The following is a 12,270-nucleotide window of genomic DNA, read 5'->3' as shown; positions in this document are numbered from 1 at the left end:
AAAATATGCTGAGACAAATAATTGGAAAGATCATCTCACAGTTTGTCACCTTATCCTTTGAAATTTTCCTTCCTGGTGTGGGTGACTGACACCAATCAATGTTTAAAAAATAATAAAATCTTAACGCATTAGAACTATGTATAATGCTGATCAGATATAATTTTTATTTTACAACCTCCAGGATGAATTTTTCTCTTCCTCTCATTTTGCAGGAGTAAGTGCAGCTCGAGGATGAGTCCTTCAGAACCCACCTTGGCCATCGCAGAAGGTCCCAGTGTAGCAGAACCCTCAAGAGGAGAAGTACTGTGCCCTGCGAGGCCAGTTGCACGAAGATCCAGCCCAGAAAGTTCATCTCAAAGGGACTCACATAGGAATCAATGCCGAAGTTGTGGGTCAGGTCATATTTGATCTGATTATAGCAGAGTTCTACCAGTCCTTGACCAAGACAGAATTGAGGAAAAATAGTAAAGACCCACTTGAGGACATCATAGATATTCTGTAAATTCTGCACAGTGAAAAAAAGAAAAAAAATCCAATTAAAAGCTATTCCCCTTTTCATAATATATACCAATAACTTCTTTTTCTCCTTGGTTAGCTCTGTGTTCCAGGTCTTCCCTATCCCAACTATTCACTGATATTCTCAGACAGCCATCAAAACAAAGGTATTTTGTTTAGAGATATTAATTAGATCTACTGGTATTTGCCTTTCAAGGTTTTCTTGCTTGAGAACAGTGATGATTTTTACATCTACTTTTAAGGAAATCACAATGATCTCTACACAAGTATGAACAAAGGTGTTAGCAATATATGAACACTGAGTTAACAAATAATCCATACATAGAAGGGGGATGCAGGTGCACAAACTCACAGAATAACAATCCATAAGTGTTCGATTTAGGATTATGTGAAAATGATAATTATACAAAGAAATAAATTAGAAAACATGAGTTTTTGCTCCCCCACATCCCCCTCGCTCCAACAGGGAGCCTCACCAGTGGGAAAGACAGATGTTCCAGATCTTGTGTTTGAAATCAAAATGTGTCATCATATAAACTGTGATTTGGTAACAATGAAAATGATTAATTAACACTATAATTTGTAAACACAATGGTTAATACTGGTTACACTAGATATTCAGACTTATTGTTCACCACTGTGGAAGATGGTGTGGCAATTCCTCAAAGATCTAGAACCAGAAATACGATTTGACCCAGCAATCTCATTACTGGGTATAAACCCAAAGGAATATAAATCATTCTATTCCAAAGATATGTGCACACATATGTTCACTGCAGCACTATTCACAATAGCAAAGACGTGGAATCAACCCAAATGCCCATCAATGATAGACTGGATAGATGGATACACCATAGAATACAATGCAGCCATAAAAAGGAAGGAGATCATGTCCTTTGCAGGGACATGGATGGAGCAAGAAAGCCATTATCCTCAGAAAACTAATGTAGGAACAGAAAACCAAACACTGCATATTCCCACTTATAAGTGGGAGCTGAGCAATGAGAACGCATGAACACAAGGACAGGAACAACACACACTGGGGCCTGTTGGGGGATGGGGTGGGGGAGGGAGAGCATTACGAAAAATAGCTAATGCATGCTGGGCTTAATACCTAGGTGATGGGTTGAGAGGTGCAGCAAACCACCATGGCACACATTTATCTATGGAACAAACCTGCATATCCTGCACATGTACCCCAGAACTTAAAATATTTTTATTTTTTAAGAAAAAGAGTGATCTGAGAATCCAGTCACCTTTTTTGGTTTCTTTCATTAATTCTATAAGAATTAATGCTACAAAGCTCCATAACCTACAAATGAAAATTTGAAATTATTTGAAATAAACATTTGAATAAGGTTGCTTCCTAAGCAAATAATATCAAAATAAAGAGCAAAGGAAAAGAAAGACCCAAACAAAAGCAATAAGCTGCTTTTAATTACTTGTTACCAATTGATTTAGATCCATTTTCTGGCAAACACTTCATTGCCTGTTGATTTTTTTTTTAACAAGTAAGCAATGCTGTTTATAATTAAAGGTAACAAGGCTTTCCACTTGCCACACTGGTAAAACCTCATGAGTGGAAAGGTTCCTGGTCAGCTTCCTCTTTGGATATGGACAATTCTTCTTCGTTTTTCTTTTGGAGCTAAATCTCACTTCTGTGACTCCACTCCCCAGGGAAGCTCTCTGCTTTCAAGTTCCTCACCAATAGGATTATCTACTGTGAGTCTCTTTTCAGTTTCACCATGATTCATGACTGACATCCTGATGGTTCATGTCATGCTAGAGATCCGATGAGGGAGGAGGGAAATTGTACACTATCTCTACTGATTTCAATTTTCTCCTCAAGCTAAAGCCAATCAATGGTTCTGCAAGTTTTCTCTTTAAAGTGTAGACATATTAATATAAATCAGTGTCAATAATAAATCTGTAAAAATCACCAAAATAGATTATTACCATCACTGAATGCATAATAGATGTTTACAGAGTTCACTGCTTCTATCCAAATATGAAGCACAGTAATAAAAACTAATGTTAGCTATCAGTGGCAAATTTACTAAGTCTCTGAAAGTCCAGCCATGAGGAAGTAGACTCATCCCAATTAAATAGGCATCAGTCCCTGTTTGATTTGAAATGAGAACTGCAGCACATGCTTCAAAACTAGGAGCTCAGTACCTTTTCCAGGTCATTTCTCAGCCCCTGAGCTGGCCAAACATTTGGGAACTACTGAGGAATCAGACTCCATATAAGCAGCAGGGAATCAGGAGAGAATAGTGTGGTCAGAGCTGAGAAAAGAAAACAGAATGAAAAGGATTGCAATAAGGGTGCAGAGGAAAGTGCAAAATCTGAAGTCTGTATCTCCAGGTAGCACTGGGGATGCTGAGGGGCTGAAAGATGTATTAAAGCAGAGGCAAACACCCAGGCAGGCCTCACTAAGGGAGGAGACAGGAGTGAAAGGAATGTGGCAGGACTAATGGGTTCACCTTGACCTAGACACCAGCTGGAGATGACATTTAAGAAATGACTTGCTAATCAGAACGGCCTATTGGAGAGTGGCGTTGACCTCACAAGGAGAAGTTCTTCCTGACCACGGGCCTCAGGCTCAGGAAAGCCCTTGGCTGCCATGCTTGGAAAACAGCAAAATTAAATTTGTTCCAGAAATCCCAGAGAAGAGGGTAGAATCCCGCCAGATCATCATTCAGACATGCTGTGCCCCGAGAGCATGGTCAGCTGTGTTGTGTGGCCCATTCTATCTTGTAGTGTCTGACCCAAACGATGGTGAACATTGAGAGGGCATGTTTCAATGACTCACTCTTCCACCATTCATCAGTAATTCATCAATAAATAGTCTCTGATGAAAATGCTAGGGATGCGGCAGTGAACATCTTCATGGCTCTACCCTCAAGAATGGAGTGGCCGAAACAGAACATTTTTTCGTCAATTGTTGCTAAGCCTAGGCATGGCTTTTATAACGGCAATGTGTTTTTTGTTAATTAGAATCCATTTATCTCTCTGGAGTTTAAAGACAGTGGATACCAATGCATTTCCATTGAATTCCAGTCAGAAAAGCAACAAAAGAGGCATGAGTTAACACCGTCTTTGCACTAGAGGTGCAGAAGTGTAGAGGTGATGCTACAAAGCTACTGACCTTAGCTTTGGAGATGATGGCTAGCAACCGGGGCATAATGGTTATGAGCATGGTACAAAGGCCAAAGATGAAGTTTAGTGAGACATAGGAAATGAAAGCCACGTCCGAACTGGAAAAGATTCTGGACATCAGGTACATCCATGGAAGAGTTGCATATCTGAAAAGTAAAGTGAAAAGTAATGTTTGTTTTACTGTAACATTTACAGTAGTTTTATCTATGGCAGATACATTCTAAGACCTTGGGGTGAATCCCTGAAAATGCAGATATTACTGAATCCTACATATACTATGTTTTTCCCCATACATACAACCTATGATAAGGTTTGATTTATAAATTAGGCACAGTGAGAGATTAAGAACAATGAGTAGTATAAAATAGAACAATTACAGCAATATGCCAGCGTGCCTACTCTAGCACTTTGGGGCCATCTAGTAAAACAAAGGTCCCTTGAACACAAGCACTGCCATGCTGCGACAGTCAATTTGGTAACTCACTGACTCCCAGGTCCAAAGTGAGGATATGCAGGACAAAGGGGAAATTCACGTCTCTGATGGGATAGAGCAAGACAGTACAAGATTTCATCCTGCTACTCAGAACACTGTGCCCTTTAAAACTGATGAATTGTTTATTTCTGGAATTTTCCATTTAATATCTTGAGACCACAGTTGACTGTGGGTAACCGAATTCTCTGAAAGCAAAAATGCAGATAAGGGGACAGCCGTAAGACTGAATTATAGATGCAATTTTATTGGCCCAGCAATTTTTCCTCACTTGGTGAACAGAAATGAACTTTACATAATACATTCCACGGTATTTTTCAAAGACAACACACTCTTCCTGGGGCTTCAGAGGACTCTGCAATGCAATAAAGAACACCGGATGGGGTCACAACACACACACGGGTTGTACGTGGGCCTGAACTTGTCGGCTCTGTGGCCTGGAGAAAGTCGGCTGACTTCTCCAACCTCTCTTCTCCAAAAGGAGCTTCTCTGCTCTGCTTCTCATCAGGAAGGCAGGAATAATACTTATTCATTATATTGAGAATCAAAAGATATCAAGAATATAAAAAGCTGCAGAGCTACGTAAAAAAAATAAGGCCTAAAAATAAAAACTGAAAGCCTCCTTCCAGCATCCACTGCACAGGGGGTACCATCTGTAACTCCTCAGTGTGCCCTAATCTTCCTTTAGTCCCCAGCAAGCCAGGAGACAGCACTGTAACTGTCATCTTACAGGCAGAACAATGGGGATTTGCAGAGTTCAGACACTTGATCGAGCTTTGCAGGTGATAAGTAGATGAACATGGGATTCATTTCCATGTGGCCCCAAAGCTGGGGAGTAAGAAGCATTGCTAAACATTGAACCCTAGAAGCAGTCCCCACATGTGTCAGATGACATCAGGATCTAAGATACCACCCAAATGTCCCTAAAAGGAAAACATCTCATTTTCTTCATTCCGTCTCCTCAATTCTAGAGCCAGGTTTCACTCATGGCAACTTCCCTCATCTCCTTCCTGAAATAATACCACTGCACCCAATAAAGGAAGTACACTTTGAACGATGGTTCCTAATATCAGCAGAGAAGTCACTGATTTTGAATCACAACTTTCCCAAAAGATTCTCATATATCCGGAGCTCCAACAAGTTCTCTGCTCACTCAAGGTAAATGTATCACTGTTTTCTTATGGTGAATAATTGGATTAACCTGAAACACTTCAGTGCCTGCAAAATGTCTGAGGTTTTCCTAATATGTTAACAAGTTCTGAAAAGTATGAGACTTCAAAATGATATAAGAGATGCCAGGCCCTCAAGTTAACTCTTAGTCTAGTATGCACCCCCTTTCATATGACATCCATGATGTTGGAATGCTTTCCTGGGTTAAAAGATACATTCTCATAGTTCATAAGATATATATAATATGATATATAAAATCATATAGTGTTTTAGACACTCTACTCAATAGCAATCTGCCTCAAAATGTGGGCATTAATTATTTCAAAGCACACAATGGAGGCAAGAGCTGTTCTAAAACAGTTGCTACATAAGACAATCAACTAATTAAATCAAAATAATTACCAGAGAGATAAGTCATGACTTCTTAGGGCTGTACATTATCAACATCTCTGTCTGAAATAAACTACCACAGAGAGAATTCAAACCCCAACACATATTCACCCACACCACACACCTACCCTCTTTCCTTTACTGTGCCTTCTGAGACAAAAATCAAGTGCTACACTCCTTCACGCAACTGTTTTGAGAATCAAATGAAATCACAGAATTGCAAGTATTTTTGCAACAGAAATATAAGCAGTAGTAGAAGTTTGTGAGCCAAATTTTGGGGCAGCTGTAATTGCTATAAAATTCATTCTAAGAGTGAATGAAAACTCTCTCCAACTTATAGCTACTGATTCAAACTCTATATTCTGGAACAGCACGTGACAAATTGCTTTTCTTTTCCATGTGACAGTCCTTTAAATAGCTGAGGATAGCCATGTTATTCTGCTTAAACCTCCACTACAAAAGACTGGGTCTTTCTCTGCTCCTTTAACAACACGATATTCAACCAGCTCTCTCTGTTAAATTTTGCATTGTGGGACTTAGGGGAGTTTAGGTAAAGCTACCTCACAGAGAACATGATGTGGTTGGCCTGGCACAACACACAGCAAGATTATCATCTGCTTTGATCAGCATCTCCACATCCAGCAATACAATCTAAGGGTACAGCAGCCTCCCGGTCTTGCTGTGGAGTCTGCATACCTGATCTGCACTTGAGTGACTAATTACCACCTCAACATTAGGCTCTACTTCCTTTGAGATGGTTCAGGATCTGTATCTAGTTACTTATTACATAAGGTTTCCATGTTGGGTTATGTCATTTAAATATTTGACAAGTGGATCAAAGCATTATTTAAGAAAAACAAAGAATCAGAGACATTGTCCTAAATGAAGCCACATGAGAGTTCCTATTGCTAGATGAATGAAGAGTATTCCAGTGTGGTTTTCAACGGGCTATGATTCCATCACTTTTTTTACTACATTTTCATTAGTTATCTTTAAAATACTTGGCTCAAATTAACGTATTAGCAGCTCCCGTCTCCTATTTTATAAGAAAAAAATGAAATTGGCTTATATTTATTTTTTTGTGAAAATTACAATGAATTTCAACAATCTCCAGGCTTTTATTAAAATATAATATCATTTTAATGATTTTAAAATTTGCTAGAGACTGGCCTACTGTTCACAACATCATGGAATTTATGGCGGAAGAAAATTCCCCTTTTGAAAATCGGCCGCTTCCCCATGCTTTGTGGATTTCCCAAGACACCAAGCAGGATTCTGCAATCTCATCTTTTAGCGGTAAATATACATCAAATATGTTCTTAAGGTTTCCATCTTTATGTAAGTTAGGCTCTGTTTTCTTTCATTCATTTTAGGTGTTACTTCCCTCTTTTGGATGCTAATTCTCCCTGACTCTCCCTTTTATAGTTTAAATAACAAATTGTCCTTGATAGAAAGAAGAAAAACAATAAGACTGCGATTAGGCATGTTTATCTTGTTATCTCTTAAAAGAATCAATTCGTGTATACTATCCCTTATTCCTTCAGATTCCTGCCTTTAAGCAGCCATTTAATGCCTGGACGTGCTCTTAGGTTTCAGCTCGGGATTCAGCTTTCCTGAGTTTGCCCTTGGGCTCCGTGTACCCATAGGTCCTTAGAAGGACAGCAGGCATGAGCCAATTCTGCTATCCTCACCCAGAGATTGCCAGGCACACAGGAGACAGCAGTTCCCCAGACCGGGTCTCTCACTGCCCCTCCTGTTACAGTGGCGGGGGAGGTTGTCACCAGTTCCACTGGCTGTGCTCCAATGAAGAAAGAGCTACCTTCTAAATCTGCATTCCCATGGATGTCACCCAGTGACCCTGATAAACTTTCCTTGGGGGCTCTTCTTCCCTGGGATTAGCCATGATTACAAACACGGTCTGAGTTATCTCTGACATCTTTCCAGTCTCTGCAACCTAAGAGTTCTTAACCAGAAGCGTGTAACCCCTATTGCCTATGATTGTGCTTCAACAGACCTGTGAATCTCCAGAAATTCTTTGAAAAATGTGGTAGTTATGTATGAAGAGAATTCTTAGTTTAATTCAAATTCTTAAAGGGTTTCACAATCAAAACAACTAATAAAAATTTCTAAAAGCGTGTTTTCAAGGCTTTCTAACCATTTCATCTAAGTTTTAACTCAGTTTTTGAGATATACTCTCCTAAAATTCAAAAATAATTTTATAGCAAAGTCTATTTTACTTGAAATAGAGGGAGACATGACAACACTATCCATTCAATTGGATCAATAAACTGAAATCAAACTGTGTTCTTAGAGCTGGGTACACACACATAGATCTTTATACACAAGTCCATAAATTTCTAGCTAAATATAATAAATATATGTCTACTATAAGCATGTTTTATAGCTCAGGATATTACATCTTCTAAAGAGTAAAATAATTCTAAAGAGTAACAATAATGGCTAAAATTAATTTAATGGGAATTTTGTACCAGTCATTGTCCATGATATTCATATAAACTATTTAATCTTTATAGCAAAAGACATGAAGTTTTACAAAGAAAAAACTGAGGATTAGACAGAATAATTAGTATTACCAAAGCTACAGCATTGGGGTTAGTGAGTAGTAATATCAATGTTCCCCCAAAAGTTTGTCTGTCTGTCTTGTTTCTCTCTCTCTCTTAATCTCTCTCTCCCTCTCTCTCTTAGTGTCTCTTTCCCTCTCTCTGTTAATCTCTCTCTCCCTGTCTATCTTTCTTTCTCTTATCTACATACTTCCATCCATCCACCCACCCACCTATACAATCATCTAGTAATGGTATATATTTGTTTAAGTAAAACTCTGTCTCTAATTAGATGTTTTGAATAATTCTAGGGCACTTATATAAATACAAACTGTAAAAATCACTTCATTTGTAATCCTCTTAAATAAGAGCAAGCTGTTTTATCTTTTAAAATAGCCTTGAAGTATAATAAATTAGTATGATAATGATTTTCCCTACTAAGCATCTCTTATGTAGTTAGCCTGTATATAAGCATACGTGCATGACAAATAAGAAGACATATATATCCTGATACCGGATAGATATAATTTTGAGGCCACTAGCAATGATCCTGACTAGCATGCATAAATCAGAAATTCATAAAATGACTTTTCTCCATTTGCTATTTTTTCATCTGAAAAAAAAGTGATAGAAATTAGACAAAACATTTTCAAACTACTAATATTAGAGGAGAGGAGAAAAAATGCCAGAGAGCTTGCTGAGAGAACCTCCACAAATGCAATCTCCGAGTTAATTGGATTATGTATTTGAGCCCCTGATTAATGTCAAAGTGAGAATAATAGAGAATCCATTTCCAGCTGCACAAGTTTGTCAAACAGCTCAAGGGCCTGTCTGAGACAGGGCAGTGCTGTCTTCATCACGACCAGGTCAGCCCTTCCTTCCTCCACGGGGCATTCATCATCCTGCTCAGGCTTGTTTGCTCCGTGTCCCTTGCAGAAGCAACATAATTGCTTCAAAAGAGAGGAAATCATGAAGTCGACAGCAGGTTCAAAGCCATCCTGAGGGTTTTCTCTTTCAGAAAACAAACCGTAATTCTGCAGCAGCGTTTCTCATCACATACCCGAAAAGTGACAGCAGGAGGGCCGTGGCTGCCAAGTTCTTGCGGAAAGTAAAAGCTGTTAACTGGAAGGCGACAATAACGGCAACACACAGGCAGACGGAAACCAAGTAAAAGAGCTGAGAAGATAAAAAGAAATAAGGGAGAGCTGTTACATCAGATGGTCATATTTATTATCATCTACTTATCCTGAAGTTTCCTTTCAACTTCACAAATATATTTCCTATTTTGCACATTAGGAGTTCTGTAGCCGTGGAATTAGTCCTGGAAAGTCGCTTGTTTTAATCTGAGTTGTACCCCCCCACAATTTATACATTGAACCCCCAGTATTTCAAGATGTGACTGTATTTGAAGACAGGACTTTGAACAAGTGATTAAGGTAAAATGAAGTCAATTGGGTGAGCCCTCATCCAACATGACTGGTGTCTCTAGAGGAGATCAGGATGCAGTCACTCTCAGAGGGCTGACATGTGAGGACACAGGGAGAGGATGGCTGTCCACAAGCCAAGGAGAGAAGCCTCAGAAGGAATCAACCCTGCCAACACCTTGATCTCAGACTTCCAGCCTCCAGGACAATGAGAGAATCAAGTTTCCGGGGTGAAGCTACCCAGCCTGTGGTATTTTGTTATGGTGGCCTGAGGTGACTACTACTGTCATGCATATCCATCTCCTTTGAGGAGGGTCAAGGAATCCAATCAGCTTTCATGAAACACAGCCTCCTCCCACACACGTAGAACCAAGGACAGGCTCCTCACACTACCTCCCTATCCAGCCTCACCTTAAGGTGCTCCCTGCAGGCCAACAATAGCCATGGCTTTCCTTCAGGCTCTCACACGCCTGGTTCCTTCTTCTCTTAGAGCCTCAAGCTGCAGACCTCTTCCTGCACGTCATCCATGGGCAGGGCCCCTTCTTACCTCACAGATCTCAGGTAAAGTTTCACTGTCTTCTTTGACCTTCACATTTGAAGTCATCCTCCATCCCATCAATCTCTTTCATTCTTTCAACAGACCCAGTCATGGCCAACTGTATCCTGCGCATTTATTTATTTGTTTGTTTACTAGTTTTTCTGCTTCCTCTCATAAGAATCTCTTTGAGGGAGCAATCTTCTCTGCTTTATGCATGGCTTTATGCCCAACACCATTTGGGGGGCTATGACAGAATAACACAGACCAAGTATCTTATAAACCACACAACTTTATTGCTCACAGTTCTGGAGGCTGGAAAGACCAGAATCAAGGTGCTGGCAGATTCGGTGACTGGCGAGGGCCAGCTTCCTCGTTCAGGCTGTGACTTCTCACTGTGTCCTCACATAGAGCTCTCTGCGGCCTCTTTTACAAGGCCATTAATCCCATTCAGGAGGGCTCCATTCTCAGAACCTAATTATCTCTCCAAGATCCCACATCCAAATACCATCACACTGGGGATTAGGTGTCAACATGAATTTTGGGGGGACATAATCATTTAGTCTATAGCAACCTTGGACCCACCTTGACCCACAACAGATCCTCAAAAATATTTATTAAATTAGTGATTGAATAGAATAAGCAGAGAATGATTGGATGAAGATGGAAAACCATCCAAGCAAGAAGCAAGAAACCCTTCCTGTCCTTAATCACCAAGATCAAACATCACAGAGTAAAGAAGAGTCAGACTGAGTGGGAGGCATAAAGAGATAATAAACTAAGGGTGCTGAAAAGAAGGAAGATCCTGGGGTTTTGGAGACTTTGAAAGCCCCATGGTGTCCTAGAAACGTGGCCCCCTGTGTGTTGTGATTCTCTCTTGCCACACACTTCTTCCCTTTTATCTGGGAAAGTTGTGGCCCTTAGACACTGTTAAATGACAGACGGCAGAGAGACAAGTAGCCAGCAGCAGTGTGTAGCACAGGGAACAAAACTGGACCAGGAGACAGAGGCTGGCACTGAGAAGCCATCTCTGTACCAACTAGATGTAAAATCTTGGACAAGTCACTTCCACTTGCCTGCCTTCAAGTGTCCCTCAGTAAAGATAAGGGTTTAAAGACCCAGAATTTGTCAATCTTGGTTAAGATTCATAAATCACCTTGAGTACCTAGTAAAACACAGACCTCCAAGTCCCCCCAGTCCTACTGAATAGAATCTCGAAGGATAGGCCCTTGGGAATCCTTATTGTTACCAAATGTCCCAGGTGATATCTATCACCAGGCAGGTTCAGGGAAACCTCTGATTAAATTAAATGAACTCCTGAAATGTTAGGTAACTTAGGTGTGACCCCGATAAATTGTACTTTCAAAACAAAACAAAAATCCAAGTTACATGATCAAAAGAAAATAAATTAGCTAAATTCTAAGCCAGCTCAAAGAAATAAACCTTACAGGAAAGCAACATGTTAATATGCGGAAATTTGTGCCTGGTGTAGCACAGCTCAGACAGCACCTAGTGCATGGAAGGTGCTCAGTAAATGGTTGACCTCCGGCCTTCCACTGACTTATGTATGATTTTCTGTATCACAAGATGAATCATATGTATGAGGGCAAGGATATCACTTTCCTACAAAATAAAGACAGCTCCACCAGAGAACAATGACAGTAGATATTGACCACTAAGAACAACTTATCATATAAGATGCTTTTTTTTACTTAAGATAAATGTCCTGAAGAATAGGGAACACCTAGACAAAGCATCTGTTATTGTCCCCCAGGATGGCAGACACTGATCTGGAGGGTTTCCATTGGGAAACTGAGTGCATTCCAAAAATGCTAATAATACCCGCCATACCTATTAGGCAATGAGGCACAGGTCTCACAGGAGGGGGTGTTAAGCATGCAGATGAAAGATCATTTCTAATGATTTTTATCACCTCATCTGCTACCCCATTGAAAAGAGCATAGTAAAGGTAATAATTTTCTCATCTTCTCAATAAGAAACTTTGCATCTTTGTAAAGTTCTATA

General features: G+C 39.9%; 1 protein-coding gene across 17 annotated transcripts in view; it reads right to left on the bottom strand.

Annotated features, from left to right (window-relative positions):
* Nucleotides 1–12,270, bottom strand: part of ABCA13 (ATP binding cassette subfamily A member 13) — a 476,040-nt gene that overhangs the window by 126,952 nt on the left and 336,818 nt on the right. For 13 of the 17 annotated variants that reach the window (XR_926914.3, XR_926915.3, XM_011515130.3 and 10 more), the window contains 3 exons: nucleotides 9,347–9,462; nucleotides 3,665–3,821; nucleotides 252–505 (listed from right to left, as the gene is read on the bottom strand). Coding sequence is in view for 14 of the 17 variants with exons in the window: in XM_011515130.3 (XP_011513432.1) it covers nucleotides 252–505; nucleotides 3,665–3,821; nucleotides 9,347–9,462 (527 nt within the window). In the remaining 3 variants the exon portion in view is untranslated. Of the gene's footprint in view, nucleotides 1–251; nucleotides 506–3,664; nucleotides 3,822–8,179; nucleotides 9,463–12,270 lie in introns of those variants that run through there. The other 4 variants (XM_011515137.4, XR_926919.3, XM_047419922.1 and 1 more) reach the window with 4 other exon arrangements.

Source organism: Homo sapiens, chromosome 7, assembly GCF_000001405.40.
Source record: "Homo sapiens chromosome 7, GRCh38.p14 Primary Assembly".
Lineage (NCBI taxonomy): Eukaryota > Metazoa > Chordata > Mammalia > Primates > Hominidae > Homo > Homo sapiens.
Note: the sequence above shows the minus strand (reverse complement) of the source record. Positions and strands in the feature narration are given on the sequence as shown.